At 38.7% G+C, this 21,025-nt stretch overlaps 1 long non-coding RNA gene across 1 annotated transcript in view; it reads left to right on the top strand.

The window, feature by feature from the left end:
* Positions 1-21,025, top strand: part of MACC1-OT1 (MACC1 3' UTR overlapping transcript 1) — a 221,446-nt gene that overhangs the window by 169,549 nt on the left and 30,872 nt on the right. Inside the window, exons 4-5 of the long non-coding RNA NR_110114.1 lie at positions 2,483-2,741; positions 9,884-9,956. This is a non-coding gene — a long non-coding RNA (MACC1 3' UTR overlapping transcript 1). The remainder of the gene's footprint in view (positions 1-2,482; positions 2,742-9,883; positions 9,957-21,025) is intronic.

The raw sequence follows: 21,025 nt of genomic DNA, 5'->3' as shown, positions 1-21,025 counted from the left end.
TAGTTCAGACATTGAGGATGATTATCTGTGCAGCCAAGATAATCAAATATGTTGATGATTAAATCACTGAAGGTAACAAAGACTGGGGCTGAAAGAATAAAAAAGGGTATAGCACTGATTCACTGAAGATTGTGAAGTGCTTTAATGGGAGTCAGTAGCCATTTGTAACCATCAATCTAAGGCAGAAAATTTATTCATTTATTTTACAAATACTTATTGCTTACTCTGTTCCTGGCAGACTTTCTCTAGTAAACAACATATAAGAAGTCCTGGCTCTCAAAGAACATACATTCTAATTGGAGAGACAAAATAAATAGTTAAGCAAACACAATAATACATCAAGTGGTGATAAGAACTAAGGAGAAAAAAACAGGGTTGTAATATTGTAATATTACATGAGCTTAGGGAAAGACTAAAATAGGTGATAACATTTGACATGGGAGCCGAGACCTGACAGAAGAAAGAAGAAAGAAAGACATGTTGATATCTGTATGAGGAGTGTTTCAAACAATGAAGAAAGCAAGTCATAAATCCTGGAGGCAAAGACATGATTGGAATGTATGAGGGACAATAAGGAGGCACATGTGACTCAGAAAGGCAAATATGCACAGAGTCTAGAATGTGGGGGCAAAGTTCGAGATTAAAGTAAGGAGAAAACAGGAGGAAGAAGATATTGAGCTTTTTAAGCCAAGATAACAGCTTTGGATTTGAGTGGAATAGAAACTTGGCAGTCTAAATAGTAGACTGCAGGACGAGAAAGAGTGAAACTAGAAAGAATAGTTAGGAAAGTAACTTAATAATCCATTGGACAATTTTGCTGCCCTGGGCTAGGGTGGAGTGAAAAGCCTGATGAAGGCTGGAAGCTAGATAAAGATTACAGAGGAATTGGATGTCGGGGGGGGGGGGGGGTGGTGTTGGGGGGAGACAGAGGGAAAGTAGAAAGCATCAATGTTGACCCTAAGGTTTTTGACCCAAATAACTGGAAGAATACAATTGCAACTGAGTTGACAAATACTGGGGAATGGACAAGTTTGAGGGTAGAAGAAAATCAATAATTCATTTTTGGTCATTTGAAGTTTGAGATATGACCAGGATGGCCTTAAAATTCCCCTCAAGTTGACTAAATTTTGGACACGTTTCTTCCTGACTATAGGCTCATAGCGTTTCTTTTTAAAGAGCACTAATTTTAGATAACTTGCAAGAGAAAACTGTTTCTGCCCTCTTGAGATCCAAATCTTCCACATCCCAGAAATATTCCTCCCAAGCTGCTAGAAGCAATCCCTTTGACATGTAATCACTAAGAAAAATGGCACTTCTAGGTTTATCCATGTTATTCCAAATGTCAGAATTTTGTTTATTATTATGGCTGAGTAGTATTACATTGTTTACATACATACCACATTTTTTAATAATCCATTCATTCATTGATTGACATTTAGGTTGATTCCCTATCTTGGCTATTTTGAATAGCGCTGCAGTAAACATGGGAGCACAGACATCTCTTTGACATACTGATTTTATTTCCTTTCGATGTAAACCCAGTAGTTGGATTATTGTATCATATGGTAGTTCTATTTTTAGTATTTTGAGGAACTTACACACTGTTGTTCATAACGGCTATACTAATTTACATTCCCATTAACAGTGTATATAAAAGTTCTCTTTCCCCATATCCTCACTAGCATTTGTTGTCTTTTTATATTATGTGAAATAAAGCAAGTACAAAAGGACAAATACCACATTATCTCACTTATATGTGGAATATAAAGAAGTTGATCACACAGAAGTAGAGAGTAGAATAGTGGTCACCAGAGGTGGGGGAGATGGGGAGAGGTTGGTCAATGGGTACAAAATTCCAGTTAGATAGGAGAAATAATTTCTGGTGTCCTATTGCAAAGTAAGGGACTACAGTAAAGAATAATGTATTATATACTTCAAAATAGCTAGAAAAAAGGATTTTGAATTTTCTCACCACAAAGATATGACAAGTGTTAGAGGTGATGGATATGCTAATTACCTTGATTTGATGATTACACAATGTATACATGTATTGAAACATTACAGTTTCTTAAATGTACCATAAGTATGTATATGACTATAGGCATATATGTATACACATACACATACACATATATATGTATATACAAACACACACACGCAATTATTACATGTCAGTTGAAACCAAAATAAAACTTTAAAAGAAGAAAGCAAGCAAGCACCTGTATTTCTTAGTCTCTGTGGGAGGGGAGGAGTCTAACTTCAATAAGCACCAATTGCAAAAAATGATGTACTAATCACCTGGATCAACCTTTCCCCTGATGTCAGTTTTCCACTGTTCTTCCATTAGCTCACTTCTGTGATTGAAACTCTCTCACCTTTTGTTTTATCAGAGTTGAGTTCAATCTTTTTCCTTTATTGCAATAGTCTTGAATAAAGTCTTCATTTCCCATTTAACTTATCTGGTGCAATTTTTCATTTACAGATGCATATTGGATATCTAAATAGAGATATCAAGAAATGAAGATATGCATTTCCAGTTCCAGAGAGAAATTCACACTGGAAATATAAATTTAGGAATTTTAAAGTTAGTGGTCACATTTAAAGCTGCAGAATACAAAGAGATCACCTGTGTGAGAGAACTGAGTCCTGAAACATACCCGTGTTTAAAGATCTGGGAGGTGCAGAGGAATTATCAAAGGAGGCTGAGAAGGAGCAGCCAGTGAGGTGTGTAGAAAAACAAGGTTGGTATTATGAAGGTGAAGTAAAGAAGTTGTTTCAAGTAATAACGTGTGAATAACGTGTGTGTAAATGACACTATTTGGTTAAATTGGAAGTCTAATAAATGACCACTAGACAATATAATACAGAGGATTTTTGTGCCCTTGCGAAGAGCAGCCCCCATGGCACAGCAAGAACACAAGCCTGAACAGAGTGGGTCCAAGAGGGAATGGGAAGAGGAGAAAGAAAAACTGTGACTGCAAAAACTCTTCTCTGTAGAGGAGAAAAGTGGGACAGAGACTATGTGAAGGGATATAGAATCAAGGGAAGATTTCTTCAAGATAGTTTGTGTTTATATACTAATAGAAACAGACCACTAGTGAAAAAAATGATGATGCAAGAGACAAAGTAAGCCATAGCAAGAGCATTGGCCTTGAGTACACTGAAGTGGATGGATTTAGTACTTAAATAGGTGGGTTTGCCTTGATATTCAGGTAAGGTATATGGATAATGATGTTGCTCTATACAGTGGTGGAAGCATGCAAGAATCTTCCTCTAGTTACTTCTACTTCCTCAATCAAAGGCAATGGAAACATAAAATAAAATAATTTCCCATGGGACTGGATAAGTGAAAATGAAGAGGGATGACGGAGCCACACTAAGGCCCCCTTAATGAGTGTGGTTATGAAATTAATGTGATCACAGCAAACATGTTATGCCTTTTGCCACCATTTGTGATTAGCTGCTATATTTCAGGAGCAAGATAGGAAAAGAGTTAGTTCTAAACAGGATTAAGGTTGGCCATGTGGCAATGATAGAAGGAATATTTTAATATTAGGCCATAGAAGCTAAGGAAAGTAAGGAAGAGAGTGAGGGCTTCAGTGAGACTCATGGTGATAAATTGCTAGCAGAAACGACTGACTAGAAGTGGTGTGGTTTTTGTTGTTATTTCTGTTGTTGTTGTTCTGTTTTTTTTTTATTTTTACAAACAGGAAAAGAGTTTTAGGAATCAGAGTACTCAAAAGAGGATAGAAGAATAGTATGTCATAGAGAACAGATGTGTTTGATGGGGTGATAAAAACTGGAAATTTTGGATTGGATAAAATTGTTACTAATGAAGTTTAGCCATGACCATGGTTGAGGTGGAACAGAGGTAAGATCACCAAAGATGGGGGCAAGAAATGGAGAGGACATGTATTGAAAGAAACACATATGTGGATATTGATGTCACTGAAAAATATGAGATACGTATTTATGGAAAAGAAACAGTTGGGAACTAAAATCTCTAAGGAATTGTCAGGCGCAATCAAAGGCTTGTGGATGACTGAGTAAAGGAGAGTTACTGGGCAATAAACATATTGGGTAGCGTGACCTTCAAAGGAACTGAGAGTTTTAGGGAAAAGGGATAGATCATCCCATGTCAAAAGCAGGGCACTCATCCTATCTCCTGACACAGAGGTACAAGACATATTAAAGAGATATGGCGGACATTTCTTCTGAGGAGTAATAGATGGCTTTGAGCAGAGAGTTGTGTTATAGCTTAAAACACGGAGTTGTTTAATGCTCTGTGAAATGTTAAAATTTAATATGGCACTTTGAAAGTTAGTAAATACAGGAAATATCCAAGGAACTGGTTTTAAAATGCAAATGCTTCTTAGGTGATCCAGGTGAACACTATAAGTGATGTTGTGTTGATCATATGTAACACTGCTTTAGTGTGATAAGAATGACACTTCACTTCAGTGGTCTTTCTCCCAAAAATCCATAGCCCCACTCTAATCATGAGAAAAACATCAAACAAACCTTGACTGAGGGATATTTTATGAAATATCTGACCAGTGCTTCTCAAAACTGTCAAGGTCATGAAAAACAACAACGAGGTCCAATAAATTGTCATAGTAGAGAGATGCTAAAGAAAGCATAATGACTAAGTGCATGGTATTCTGGGTGGGGTCCTAAGAGAAAAAGGACAATGAGAAAAAAATAACTAAATAATTTAGAATAAAGTACAGAGTTTGCTTAATAACAGTGTATCAATACTGGTTCATTAGTTATGACAAATGTGCAATAGTAATGTAAAAGTTGACACTGGGGGAGACTGGGTCCAGTGTATATAGGAACTCTGTATTATCTTTGGAACTTTTCTGTAAATCTAAAGTTATTCTTCAAAATAGTCTGTTGCCATAAATGCAGATGCTTAGGTAATAGGACACAAGAACCAGCATTTTTAAAAACTGAGATATAGTTTAAATACAACGAAAGATTAAGATCTTATTTATTTGATCAGTTTTTGTGAATATATATTAAGACATAAAGTATCTTCATCACCCAAGAAAACTTCCTCATGCTCCTTTCCACTCAGTATCCCCCTTCCAGGAGTGACTGCTGATCTGATTTCTATCACCAAATTTAGTTTAGTGCATATTATTTATTAATTTTTTTCAGACAGAGTCTCACTCTGTTGCCCAGGCTGGAATGCAGTGGCCCAATCTCAGCTCACTGCAACCTCCACCTCCCAGGTTCAAGCAATTCTCCTGCCTCAGCCTCCCAAGTAGCTAAGATTACAGGCGCATGCCACCACGTCTGGCTGTTTTTGTATTTTTAGTAGAGATGGGATTTTGCCATGTTGGCCAGGCTGGTCTTGAACTCCTGGCCTCAGGTGATCCACCCACCTCGGCCTCCCAAAGTGCTGAGATTATAGGTGTGAGCCACCATGCCCAAACCAATTTAGTGCATATTATACAATCCCTTTATAGTTTCCTTAGGTGATCAAAGTGAACACTGTATTCCTATGAGGAAACTGATATAAATGGATCATATAAAATGTACTTCTTTTGCATCCAATTTCTTTCACTCAGCACAATATTTGTAAAATATTTATTTTATCAGTTGCTAATATAATTTATGGCTAAATAGACTTCCATTGTATAGACGTGCCAGTATTTAGTTACATATCATTTGGTTGGTGAATAATGATCATTTTTAATAACCACAGAAGTGATTATTTTACGTGGTATACAGATTTTATTTTGAGAAACATTGTTTTAAAAAGTGGATACTGACTCCATTATTTCTTAGTTAATAAACACTTCCAAGCATGAGAAGATAACTGAGTATCTAAGAACCTTAATACAGCTGCAAAATAATATGTCAAGATTATCTCACTAGTCAGGTAAAAAATAACAATAAAAAATTAACAATAGCCTAGTAATGAAAAGGCACAATGTATTAGAATGTCTATATAGACAACAGAAATAATTTGTAGTCTAAGAGAGCTCATTTGTCTTTAGTTCAAAATGGTTCTGATTTGTTTATCTGTCTTTAGGGACCAATGAGAACAAAATGAATACAGGCAGTGTGTTTCTGATGAGGCAGTACACATGTCTGGTGATAGTTGGGCAGTTTGGCCAATACAAGGTGATCTTTTGCGTTTGTGCAGCATTGTGTTTTAGACATAATATATACACTGTACTGTGTTTAAGGAATGTTGAGGGAAAGGAAATAGCCTGATAAATTGCAGGGAAGAAAAAAAAGACGAACAGTTGGAAAGAATACACATCTGAATTAGGAAGACAGGAAGAAACAAGGAGCTAAGGATGCAGGCTTGCTCTTCACAGCTCTCTGGAGTGCAGTAATTGAGACTGAGAGCACAAATGATATTCTGAATAGGAAAAGAAGTCTGCTACTGCAACTTACATTTGGAATGCAGACTACCATGGCAGTAAGCTGCTTCTGTTCCCATAGGAACCTGTATTCTCCAGCCCCAGTCTGACTAAGCATTTGGACCGTATCTTCCACAGCTTCATGAGAAATGCATGAGTAAATTAAAATCTGTTCCCACTCTTTCCATATCCAGTGGCTGCAATTTCTCCCTTCTGTGTATTTTCTCTTTTGCTCATTCTCATTATCTCTTTATTTTTTCCTCTTCTTTTGTTTGGATTCATCTTGTGTGTATTCTCTTAATTTTACGCTTTAACTTTCTCAATAATGTTTATAAATCCTATGTTGGCATTTAAATGAAAATCATATGTGGCATTTTAATGTAGATTTGGAAGAATTAGAAAGGTAAAAAACCCTAAGCCATCAGAGAGATGAGCCGAACAGCTTTAAGAGAACATCAACCTCACCCTGCAGTATAACTGGGTGAGTCTGAAATTGGGACAGCTAAAGAGTGAACCCAGTCCCTAGGGAAGACTCTAAATTCCTTCCCCTAAATTTCACATGGAAATGTGTTTATCAGAATCAGGCAGGGATGGCTAGCTTTACTTTCTGGAAAACCTATGATCTCATTTTATTAGCTGTTTAGATTGGCTGCAAAATGCCTCCAAGATTATTTGATGGTTTAGTGTTTGGCCTTGTTGCACCATAATAATTTGGTGGCCTCATGATTTCATTTAGAGCCTGATATTGTCAGTCATACCAGATTCAAGTGTAGTTCTTACACAGCTGGAAGTAAAAGTCTTCAAATATTGGCATTGGTATAGCCCATTGATATGATTTTCATTGTTGAGGGAATTAAGAATAATATGATGAAGAAGCATGAAGCAGGTCTAGAGTCAATGAAATTATTCAGCTCGATGAATTCTCACTTGTTGAATATAATGATTCTGCTGGCTGTGTGCACGTTGTTACTGTGGCAGTGAGCCTGTGAGGCTCAGGGTTTCTCAGTATCTGATCATATAATGACTGGAAGGTAGGCTACAAAAATGTTTCTTAGCTAGCTTCAGAGTTGGCTGTTTCCTTCAGCCTCTGTGCTGCATTTAGGTCATCTTACCTCCTTTGCTGCAGCTGGGAAGGGTATTGTTGTGAGGCCATATCTCATGCTTGAAATAAAAGAGTTGGGAGCCATTTTGTGTTGGGTTCAAATCTCTTTCTTCTATTACCTCTCCAACTGTCCTAGGGAAGTTATTTAATCTCTTTGAATCTCCCCTTCTTCATCCTTAAAGTAGGAGCTTACAATAATATATAAAAAGAGTACATAACATCTATGGAGTTGTTTTCATGATTGAATGAGTTATAATCTGTCAGTCACTTGGAACAGTCACAGAACATAGCAAGGCGTGCTATTTGTTAGCCATTAGTGGTTTTATTGCTTAATATTTTTTTCTTTATATCTCTTTCATCTTAGTCGGCAGGATGTCTTTGATTGGTGATTTTTGTCCTACTCAGAGTACAACTCATTAAAATAAAATAAACACTTGCAAACAAGGTACTCTTCTGAAGATTTACACATAGCTTACTGTAGCAGTCTGGTGTTGCTCATGGTAAAGGTGATGTTTACCAGCTTGCTCACTACAAGTTTTCATAGAATATCAATGTCATAGCCACCTTTTCACAGATATGTGAGCTATACCAGGAGAAGTAACACATATGGATCAAGGTTGCCCATTAAGTCATAAGAGCTCTTCTTATAGCTAACATTTTCAGTACTCTCAGGGCAAGACTTTAGACTGAGGCATTAAGAACCTATCTTGGGCTGGACACGGTGGCTCACTCCTGTAATCCCAGCACTTTGGGCAGCCAAGGCGGGTGGATCACCTGAGGTCAGGAGTTCGAGACCAGCCTGGCCCAGATGGTGAAACCCTATCTATCTCTACTGAAAATACAAAAATTAGCCAGGCGTGGTGGCAGGTGCCCATAATCCCAGCTACTCAAGAGGCTGAGGCAAGAGAATCGCTTGAACCCAGGAGGTGGAGATTGCAGTGAGCTGAGATCACACCATTGCCCTCCAGCCTGGATGACAAGAGCAAAACTCTGTCTCAAAAAAAAAAAAAAAAAAAAAAAGAACCTATCTTGGTAAAAATTACACTAAAATAAAAGAGCTCATTTGTTTGGATGGGGTTCTTATGGCCAAATTTTGTATTTTATTTCTGATACTGTCATTATAATGACAACGAAGGGGATCAATTCATTATTAATTTTTCTATTTATTTGTGTATTTGTCAGCTTGGGCTGTCATAAAAAACACTATAGACTGGGTGGCTTAAACAACAGAAATTTATTTCTCACAGTCACAGTCCTGAGGGCTTAAAAGTCCAAGATCAAGAGGCCCGCCGATTTGGTTCCCCAGTGAAACTGCTCTTCTTGGCTTGAAAATTGCTGCTTTTTCATGGTATTTCATGGTATCATAAAGTGGAGAAAGGGAGAGAAAGAGAGAGAAAGGGAGGAAGCAAACTCTCTGTTGTCTACTCTTAGAAGGGCAGTAATCTCACCATGAGGCCCCCTGCCCTCATGACCTCATCTAAACCTAATTATTTTACAAAGACCCCATCTCCAAATACCATCACATTGGGAGTTAGGACTTCAACAAATGACATTGGTGGCAGGGTATAACTCAGTCCATAGCAGTTTGTTTAGTTATTGGTAAGAAACAGCAATAATTTGTGACAGTTCTTTATAAGGAAAAAATATAGTGGAGCTTGAAATTTAAAAGGATCCTGTTTTTTAGCCTGAAAATATGTGATAAAATATAAGCATCAATCTTACTGAGAAGGTTTAGTATAAACTCAGTATGATTGGAATGCAAAAACTCCCAAAAGGTTCTCGTTAGAGGACAGACTCATAAGGTCTGCCACTCCTCATCAGACACGTGTTGTCAAAGAATATTGAGATACACATGTGTAAAAGTTAGCAGATTCTCAGAAGATATTATAAACTGTAAGTTCCTTGAACTTTTTCTGTCTTTCTTAGAGCTAGTCAAATGCTAGAATCTGAAATTACCAATTTGGGGGTCACACATTTCTTTGGGTTAATATTATGCCTCCCTAAATGTTCTTTTTAAGTGGAAATATATTCCCTTGAAGGCAGGACATAGTAACACCTAACCATAGGAAAATTTTCCTGGCCAAGAGTGAATAGGAGAGAAAGCAACCTGGGGAATGGGACACAGAATTTCTAAGTATAGGTGTGGAAGGAGAAGAGAGGGGTCAGGGACACAGCCCTGGGGTATCCCATTATAATCCTGTGGAAGGCGAGGAATAGAATGAATAGAATGAGATCACCTAGGTACAGAGTGGTGTCTAAAGGATAATAAAGACCACTTACTGGTATATTTGCTTTGTTAATGTTTCATATACAAAAATAACCTAATGACCACCTGTTTTTCAGTTCCAGGTAATCATCATAATATACTAACTAACTCCATGACTTTCATTGTTTTTTTCAGATAAGCAAAAAGAAAAGCAAGAGATATGGAACTGAACTTCCCTTTGGCAAAAAATTTAGAAAATGATAATGAGGTGAGGAGAGACCTTAACACAGAAAATTATATACTCTGGGGTTACTGAAACACAATTTACTACCACGATATTATACTATATAAGAGAAGAACTGATGTGGAACTATATGGATAAGAGTAGTATTGAATGGTTTTATCATAAAAAATATTTTTTCATACCTAGTCCCACAGACATAAAAAATATTTTTTAGCTTATTCTTCTACTAAGACTCAAAGCAAAGTAAATGGAATATAAATCTCTCTTTTCCCCCCTTATTTACCTTAAGACATCTGGGAGTCATTCTTCAACATATAAAAAATATTTATAAGGCCAGTACCTTGAGAACATCAAAATTTTTAAAAACACGTATGAATTTACATAGTCAATAATAAGATTTGTCAAGAGCCCTGAGTGAAAGGAAATGGTGAATTAGCCTGGCGAATTAATCTGCTCATCAGTGTAGGAGTTATTACATAAAAGTGGAAACTTGGGTTATGATATTTTCTTTACATTTACCTGATGGATCTATGATCTTTAGACAGGCATGAACAGATGGTATTTTATGATCCAGAAGGAAATGATATTTTGTTTTTCTAAAGTCAGTTATTCACAGAGATAAATACTGAGTATACCTCAAACTTATATGGTTTTAAGTATAAAATCACAGATGAGTTATATAATACCCAGTTTCCGTGCACATTTGCTGAAAACATCTATCTTTCTATGTATTTTCTGTTCACAATATTTGTCAGAACTTCAGTGTATTTAAGCTGGGTACTATGTTTTTTGCCAAAACAAACCATATGAAGACACACCCTTTGGTAGGAACCCCGATATTTGGTATGCATTAAGCATTATTGTTGTTATGTTTATAATTTACCATGTATTTTCTGGTAATTAAAGATGGCATTTTATTTAATATGGCTAAGGTTATAGTTGTAAGAACTAGCTAAAATATATTCAAATCCTTTTAAAGCTCTGTGTTAGTCTGTTCTTGCACTGCTATAAAGAAATACCTGAGACTAGTAATTTATAAGGAAAAGAGGTTTAATTGGCTTATGGTTCTTCGGGCTGTACAAGAATCATGGCTAGGGACACCTCAGAAAATTTTCAATCATGGCAAAAGGTGAAGGGGAAGCAGGCAGGTCTTACTTGACTGAGCAGGAAGAAGAGGCGAGGGGTGCTACACGCTTTTAAACAACTAGGCATTGTGACAACTCACTCTCACGAGAACAGAGCCAAAAGGGAAATCCACCCCCATGATCCAATTATTTCCCACCAGACCCCACCTCCAACACTGGGGACTTCAGCTGGACATGAGATTTGGGCAGGGACACAGACCCAAACCATGTCAAGCTTCCTTTGTTCAAGCAGAGAATACTTAGAGGTAAACAGATTCAGAGGACCTAAAATATATTAAGAAGGATAGAAATTATATACTATTTATTCTTTTTGTGAATTTCAAGGACCAGGTTTTTCTTAGAGAGGAACTCCTGTGATTTAGGTTCACTTTAAATTCTTTTCTTTTCTTTTTTTTTTTTTTTTTGAGACGGAGTCTCGCTCTGTCACCCAGGCTAGAGTGCAGTGGCACGATCTCGGCTCACTGCAACCTCCGCCTCCCAGGTTCAAGGAATTCTCCTGCCTCAGCCTCCCGAGTAGCTGGGACTACAGGCGCCTGCCACCATGCCCGGCTAATTTTTAGTAGAGACGGGGTTTCACCCTCTTGGACAGGCTGGTCTCGAACTCCTGACCTTGTGATCCACCCGCCTCAGCCTCCCAAAGTGCTGGGATTACAGGCGTGAGCCACCGTGCCCGGCCAGTTCACTTTAAATTCTGAGCAGTACAAATGGTGTTTTTTAATAATGATTATCAATCTGTAAGTTTTGTTTTCCAGTAAAAGGGAGGGCCTAAATAATCACAACTCAGTTAGTTAATTTATAATTAATACTTCACCTAAAAAGAAAATGGGCTTATTGTGTGAAAAATAATAACAGTGAAATGCTCATATGAAATTTTATTGTAAAACTGTTTCATAATTAGAGTTTTATCAGATGTTATATTGTAGCATTAGCAAACTGGAACATGCAGTACTAAATATCAGCTGTAAGGGTTTTGGTAACTTCCTAAACTCTTTATAATTAATGACTCTTAAAAATGTTTGTAGTGTTATTTTTATTATGTCACCAAGTCATTAATATTTCAACATGGTAATAATCCAACTAAATGTAATTTTCCAGTTAAAACCACAGTAACCAAGGTGCCTTTTCAGTTAATAACAACATTGCCCAATATAAAAAAAATACTTCCTGAGAATTCCTGTAAAGCAGGATTTCTCAACCATGACACTATTGACACTTTGGGGCAAATAATTCTTTGCTGTGTGAGCTGTCCTGTGATTGCAGGATGTTTAGTAACATCTTTGGCATCTACCCGCTAAATGCCAATAGCACCTCCTTTCAGTTGTGACAACCAGAAATGTGTCCAGATGTTGTTAAGTGACCCATGGCTTGGTTGAAAATCAATGCGGTAAGAGCATAAACGTACCCAATTCTTAGGTGGCAAATAGTATACCCTTTGGTGGTTGAGTTAGCCTAAGAGTAAACCTAACTTTGTGGTCCTGAGTCACTCTTCCTTTTAAGTCATATCATCTTATCTAACTCATTCTAAATCTAGCCTATTTCTTCAACGTGCCCCATTTCTCAGCATTACTAATTTTGATGATTGAGTGCTTAAATGGATTTATAATTCAGACTGGCTCTGTCATTTGCTATAGGTGCACTTTACAAAAATACCACAATTTAAATGACTTTTTTTGTAAGCATTACAAAGGGTAACAGAGACTGCATGTTTACAACAACCATACAAATATATTTTAAAATGGTGTTTCTATTCATATCTCTGGGGTCTGTATCAATAAATAGGTATATTATTAGAAGTCACAAGGAAAATTAAGAAACACCAGAGAATGAATTGGCTCAGCCATGCTTATATCTTCTTGGCATACTGGGCTATTATCTTTCTGAATCTCCTTCACTGCCCCACTTTTTATTTAGTCTGACTCATTTTCTCAGGGATGAATTTATTAAAACAAAAACACACAGGCCTTTCAAATTTTGCTGAAGCTTCATTACAGTGGAGATAGGATCTAGAGCATCTGATGACAGAATCTCTTGCTCTCTCTCTCTTTCCCTCTCTGACACACACACACACACACACACACACACGCACACAATTTCCTGTGATACTAGAAAGCAATGATATATAAAATTTAAAAGTTAGAAAAACTATTTAGGTATTTTTAATGACGAAGAAGAAATATGAAATTCATTTTTTATTAGCACCAACCAGATGTGAGTATACATAAAATAGACAAATTGAGGAATAAAGTACTCCCAAAGGTAAACTGTATTGAAACCCATTATTCTCTGCATTCTCATTTGTTTTAAAAAAATGTATATATATATTAAAAACTTTACACTGTGTGATTTTAAAATACTGGATTCTAAAGTTAGCATTTATGGGGTATATACGAGTTGTGAAAATTTTCTTGATGACAGTTATTACAGGCACCTGTAATCCCAGCTACTCGAGGGGCTGAGGCAGGAGAATTGCTTGAACATGGGTGGCAGAGGTTGCAGTAAGCCAAGGCTGTACCACTGCACTCCAGCCTGGGTGACAGAGTGAGACTCCATCTCAGTTAAAAAAAATAAAAGCAAGGCTTGGGAAAGATACAGAACACTTTTGAAAGCCCTCAATAACATTACTTATCTGAGAAGTGCTCTCATTGTGCACTATCTACTATATCTTTCTGATTAATTCCCTTTGGTCATCACACATAAATCTGACTAGTATGTGCAACTGGTTACAGGTTAAAATTATCTTTGCAGGCTTCCTACCATTTAATTCTCAAAACAACTATATTTTGTGTAAAAGCAAACTCCCTTAGAGAGGCTAAGTTACTTAGTTTGCTAGTAACTGGTAATGGCAGGATTTGAACACAAATGCTCTGAACACCAAATCTCCATCTCACTTGTGTTTTTCCCTAGTCATCAATCTTATAAGAACTGTGTATTAGGCCATTCTCACATTGCTATAAAGAAATATCCGAGACTGGGTAATTTATAAAGAAAAGAGATTTAACTGGCTCAGGATTCTGCAGGCTTTACAGGAAGCATGGTGCTGGCATCTGCTCACCGTCTAGAAAGGCCTCAGGAAGCTTACAGTCATGGCAAAAGGCAGAGGGGGAGCAGGCGTGTCACTTGGCAAAAGCAGGAGCAAGAAAGCGATTGGGGTGGGGAGGTGCCACATACTTCTAAAGGAACACATCTGATGAGAACTCACTATCACAAAGACAGCACCAAGCTACGAGGGATCCACCCCCATAATCTAAATACCTCCCTCCAGACCACACCTACAGCACTGGAGAATCTAATTTAACATGAGATTTGGATGGGGTCATGTATTTGAACTGTATCATTTCACCCCGGCCCCCTTCAAATCTTATGTCCTCACATTTCAAAATATAATAATCTCTTCTCAGTAGTCCCCCCAAAATCTTAACTCATTCCAGCATTAATCCAAAAGTCCCAAGTTCCAAATCCACAGTATTATCTGGAAATGAGTTTCTTTTACCTATGAGCTGTAAAAATAAATAAATAAATAAATAATAAGTTAGTTGCTTCCAAGATACAGTGGGAGTTCAGGCATTGGGTAAACATTCCTGTTCCAAAAGACAGAAGTCATCAAAAAGAAAGGGGCTACATGCCCCATACAAGTTCAAAACCCCATGGGGCAGTCATTAAGTCTTAAAGCTCCAAAGTCATCTCCATTGACTACATGTCCCCCATCCAGGGAAAATGGGTGCAGAAGGTGGGCTCTCAAGGCCTTAGGCAGCTCCACCTGTGGCTTTTCAGAGTGCATACCCCAAGGCTGCTCTTACAGGCTGGAGTTGAGTGACTGCCCCTTTACTACATGCAGAGTGCAAGCTACTGGTATATCTACCATTCTCAGGTCTGGAGGATGGTGGCCTTCTTCCCACAGTTTCACTAGGCAATGCCCCAGTGGGGACTCTGTGTGAGGCCTCCAACTCCACATTTCTCCTCCACACTCCCTTAGTAGAGGCTCTCTGTGAGGGGCTCCATCACAACAGCAGGCTTCTGCCTGGACACAGAGACTTTCTCATATATCCTCTGAAATCTAGGCTGAGGCTACCAAGGCTCAACTCTTACACTCTGTGTACCTGAAAACTTAACTTTACATAGAAGCTGCCTAAGCTTACAGCATGCACCCTCTGGAGCTATGGACCAAGCTATACCTGGGCCCGTTTGAGCCAAGGCTGGATCTGGAACAGCCAGGATGTAGGGAACATTGTCCTGAGACTGTGCAGGGAAGCAAGGCCCTAGGCCTGTCCCACAAAACCATTCTTCCCTCCTAGGCATTCAGGACTGTGATGAGAGGGGCTGCTGCAAAGGTCTCTGAAATGCCTTCAAGGCCTTTTTCCTATCATCTTGGCTATCAGCACTTGGCTCCCTTTTAGTTATGCAACTTTCTCTAGCAAATGGTTGCTCCAGTAAAAGCTTTTTCTTTCTCTGCCACATGACCAGGCTGTAAATTTTCTAAACTTTTATGCTCTGCTTCCCTTTTAAATATAAGTTTCAACTTTAAGTTATTTATTTGTACCCTCATCTGAAGTTAGGTTGTTAGAAGCAACCAAGTCACATTGAAATGTTTTGGTTCTTAGAATTTTTTTCCACCAGATACCCTAAATTATCTGTGAAGTTTAAATTCTCACAGATCCCTAGGAAATGAACACAATGAGCCAAGCATTCTTGGGAAACACAAGTGCAATGGGGATTTGGTATCCAGAAGATTTGTGTTCAAATCCTGCCATTATCAGTTACTAGAAAACTACGTACCTTAGCCTCTCTAAGATAGTTTATTCTTACATAAAATATGGTTGTTTTGAGAATTAATGGTAAGAAGCATGTGAAGATAATTTTAAACTGTAACCCACCGCACACACTAGTAAGTTTTATGTGTGGCAACCAAAGGGAATTAGTCGGACATAGAATACAGTGCATAATAAGAGTACTTCTCTGGGGGGTCCTTTCCAAGATGGCCAAACAGGAACAGCTTTGGTCTGCGGCTCCCAACATGATCAATGCAGAAGACAGGTGATTTCTGCATTTCTAACTGAGGTACCTGATTCATTTCATTGGGACTGGTTGGACAGTGGGTGCAGCCCACAGAGGGCAAGCCAAAGCAGGGCGAGGCATCACCTCACCCAGGAAGTCCAAGGGTTTGAGGGATTTCCCTTTCCTAGCCAAGGGAATCCATGACAGACTGTACCTGGAAAATCGGGACATTGCCACCCCAATACTGTGCTTTTCCAACAGTCTTAGCAAATGGCACACCAGGAGAGTATATCCCGTGCCTGGCTTAGTGGGTCCCATGCCCACGAGCCTTGCTCAAGGCTAGCGTGGCAGTCTGAGATCAAATTGCAAGGCAGCAGCCTGGCTGGGGGAAGGGTGTCCGCCATAGCTGAGGCTTAAGTAGGTAAACAAAGTGGCCTGGAAGCTTGAACAGGGCGGAGCCCACTGCAGCTCAAGGAGGCCTGCCTGCCTTTGTAGACTCCACCTCTGGGGGCAGGGCATAGCTGAACAAAAGGCAGCAGAAACTTCTACAGACTTAAACGTCCCTGTCTGATAGCTCTGAAGAGAGCAGTGGTTCTCCCAGCATGGTGTTTGAGCTCTGAGAACGGACAGACTGCTTCCTTAAGTGGGTCCCTAACCCCTGTGTAGCCTAACTGGGAGACACCTCCCAGTAGGGGCTGACTGACAGCTCATAAAGCCGGGTGCCCCTCTGAGACAAAGCTTCCAGAGGAAGGATCAGGCAGCAATATTTGCTGTGCTGTTCTGCAGCCTCCGCTGGTAGTACCCAGGCAAACAGGGTCTGGAGTGGACCTCCAGCAAACTCCAACAGACCTGCAGCTGAGGGACCTGACTATTAGAAGTAAAACTAACAAACAGAAAGGAATAGTATCAACATCAACAGAAAGGACATCCACACCAAAACTCCAACTGTAGGTCACCATCATCAAACAGTAAAGGTAGATAAAACCACAAAGATGGGGACAAACCAGAGCAAAAAAGCTGAAAATTCTAAAAAGCAGAGTGCCTCTTCTGCTCCAGAGGATTGCAGCTCCTCGCCAGCAAAGGAACAAAGCTGGATGGAGAATGACTTTGATAAGTTGACAGAAGTAGGCTTCAGAAGATCAGCAATAACAAACTTCTCTGAGCTAAAGGAGGATGTTGGAACCCATAGCAAGAAAGCTACAAACCTTGAAAAATGATTAGACAAATGGCTAACTAGAATAAACAGTGTAGAGAAGAGCTTAAATGACCTGCTGGAGCTGAAAACCATGGCACGAGAACTACGTGACACATGCACAAACTTCAGTAGCCGATTCGATCAAGTGGAAGAAAGAGTATCAGTGACTGAAGATCAAATTAATGAAATGAAGCAAGAAGAGAAGTTTAGAGAAAAAAGAGTAAAAAAGAAATGAACAAAGCCTCCAAGAAATATGGGACTATGTGAAAAGACCAAATCATTTGATTGGTATACCTGAAAGTGACGGGGAGAAAGGAATCAAGTTGGAAAACACTCTGCAGGATATTATCCAGGAGAGCTTCCCCAATCTAGCAAGGCAGGCCAACATTCAAATTCAGGAAATACAGAGACCACCACAAAGATACTCCTTGAGAAGAGCAACCCCAACACACAAAACTGTCAGATTCACCAAGGTTGAAATGAAGGAAAAAATGTTAAGGGCGGCCAGAGAGAAAGATCAGGTTACCCACAACGGGAAGTCCATCAGACTAACAGCTGATCTCTCGGCAGAAACTCTACAAGCCAGAAGAGAGTGGGGGCCGATATTCAACATTCTCAAAGAAAAGAATTTTCCACCCAGAATTTCACATCCAGCCAAACTAAGCTTCATAAGTGAAGGAGAAATAAAATCCTTTACAGACAAGCAAATGCTGAGAGATTTTGTCACCACCAGGCCTGCCTTACTAGAGCTCCTGAAGGAAGCACTAAACATGAAAAGGAACAACTGGTACCAGCCACTGCAATAACATGCCAAATTGTAAAGACCATCGATGCTAGGAAGAAACTGCATCAACTAACGGGCAAAACAACCAGCTAACATCATAATGACAGGAACAAATTCACACATAACAGTATTAACTTTAAATGTAAATGGGCTAAATGCCCCAATTAAAAGACACAGACTGGCAAATTGGATAAAGATTCAAGACCCATCAGTGTGCTGTATGCAGGAGACCCATGTCACATGCAGACACACATAGGCTGAAATTAAAGAGATGGAGGAAGATCTATGAAGCAAATGGAAAGCAAAAAAAAGCAGGGGTTGCAATCCTAGTCTCTGATAAAACAGACTTTAAACCAACAAAGATCAAAGAAGGCCATTACATAATGGTAAAGGGATCAATTCAACAAGAAGAACTAATTATGCTAAATATATATGCACCCAATACAGGAGTACCCAGATTCATAAAGCAAGTCCTTAGAGACCTATGAAGAGACTTAGACTCCCACACAATAATAATGGGAGACTTTAACACCCCACTGTAAATATTAGATCAACAAGACAGAAGGTTAATAAGGATATCCAGGACTTGAACTCAGCTCTGCACCAACCATACCTAATAGACATCTACAGAACTCTCCACCCCAAATCAACAGAATATACATTCTTCTCAGCACCACATCACACTTATTCCAAAATTGACCGCATAGTTGGAAGTAAAGCACTCCTCAGCAAATGTAAAAGAACAGAAATCACAACAAACTGTCTCTCAGACCACAGTGCAAACAAATTAAACTCAGGATTAACAAACTCACTCAAAACTGCACAACGACATGAAAATTGAACAACCTCCTCCTGAATGACTACTGGGCAAATAATGAAGTCAAGGCAGAAATAAAGATGTTCTTTGAAACCAATGAGAACAAAGACACAACATACCAGAATCTCTGGGACACATTCAAACAGTGTGTAGAGGGAAATTTATAGCACTAAACGCCCACAAGAGAAAGCAGGAAAGATCTAAAACTGACACCCTAACATCACAATTAAAAGAACTAGAGAAGCAAGAGCAAACACGTTCAAAAGCTAGCAGAAGGCAAGAAATAACTAAGATCAGAGCACAACTGAAGGAAATAGAGACACAAAAAACCAATGAATCAAGAGCTGGTTTTTTGAAAAGATCAACAAAATTGATAGACTGCTAGCAAGACTAATAAAGAAGAAAAGAGAGAAGAATCAAATAGACGCAATAAAAAATGACAAAGGGGATATCACCACTGATCCCACAGAAATATGAACTATCATCAGAGAATACTAAAAACACCTCTATGCAAATAAACTAGAAAATCTAGAAGAAATGGATAAATTCCTGGACACATACACCCTCCCAAGACTAAACCAGGAAGAAGTTGAATCCCTGCATAGGCCAATAACAGGCTCTGAAATTGAGGCAATAATTAATAGCTTACCAACCAAAAAAAGTCTAGGGCCAGTCAGATTCACAGCCGAATTCTACCAGAGGTACAACAAGGAGCTGGTACCATTCCTTCTGAAACTATTCCAATCAATAGAAAAAGAGGGAATCCTCCCTAACTCATTTTATGAGGCCAGCATCATCCTGATAACAAAGCCTGGCAGAGACACAACAAAAAAAGAGAATTTTAGACCAATATCCCTGAAGAATATCAATATAAAAATCCTCAGTAAAATACTGGCAAACCAAATCCAGCAGCACATCAAAAAGCTTATCCACCACGATCAAGTTGGCTTCATCCCTGGAATGCAAGGCTGGTTCAACATATGCAAATCAATAAACGTGATCCATCACATAAACACAACCAATGACAAAAACCACATGATTATTTCAATAGATGCTGAAAAGGCCTTCGACAAAATTCAACAGCGCTTCATGCTAAAAACTCCCAATAAACTAGGTATTGATGGAACATATCTCAAAATAATAAGAGCTATTTATGACAAACTCACAGCTAATATCATACTGAATGGGAAAAAACTGGAAGCATTCCCTTTGAAAACTGGCACAAGACAGGGATGCCCTCTCTCACCAATCCTATTCAAGATAGTATTGGAAGTTCTAGCCAGGGCAATCAGGCAAGAGAAAGAAATAAAGGGTATTCAATTAGGAAAAGAGGAAGTCAAATTGTCCCTGTTTGCAGATGACATGATTGTATATTTAGAAAACCCCATTGTCTCAGCCCAGAATCTCCTTAAGCTGATAAGCAACTTCAGCAAAGTCTCAGGATACAAAATCAATGTGCAAAAATCACAAGCATTCCTATACACCAATAACAGACAAACAGCCAAATCATGAGTGAACTCCCATTCACAATTGCTACAAAGAGGATAACATAACTCGCAATCCGGCTTACAAAGGATGTGAAGGACCTCTTCAAGGAGAACTACAAACCACTGCTTAATTAAATAAAAGAGGATACAAACAAATGGAAGAACATTCCATGCCCATGGATAGGAAGAATCAATATTGTGAAAATGGCCATACTGCCCAAGGTAATTTATAGATTCAATGCCATCCCCATCAAGCTACCAATGACTTTCTTGACGGAATTGGAAGAAACTACTTTAAAGTTCATATGGAACCAAAAAGCTTGCATTGCCAAGACAATCCTAAGCGAAAAGTACAAAGCTGGAGGCATCATGCTACCTGACTTCAAACTATCCTACAAGGTTACAGTAACCAAAACAGCATGGTACTGGTACCAAAACAGAGAGATAGACCAATGGAACAGAACAGAGACCTCAGAAATAACACCACACATCTACAACCATCTGATCTTTGACAAACCTGACAAAAACAAGAAATGGGGAAAGGATTCCCTATTTAACAAATGGTGCTGGGAAAACTGGCTAGCCACATAAAGAAAGCTCAAACTGGATCCCTTCCTTACACCTTACACAAAAATTAATTCAAGATGGATTAAAGACTTAAATATGAGATCTA

Source organism: Homo sapiens, chromosome 7 (genome assembly GCF_000001405.40).
Source record: "Homo sapiens chromosome 7, GRCh38.p14 Primary Assembly".
Lineage (NCBI taxonomy): Eukaryota > Metazoa > Chordata > Mammalia > Primates > Hominidae > Homo > Homo sapiens.
Note: the sequence above shows the minus strand (reverse complement) of the source record. Positions and strands in the feature narration are given on the sequence as shown.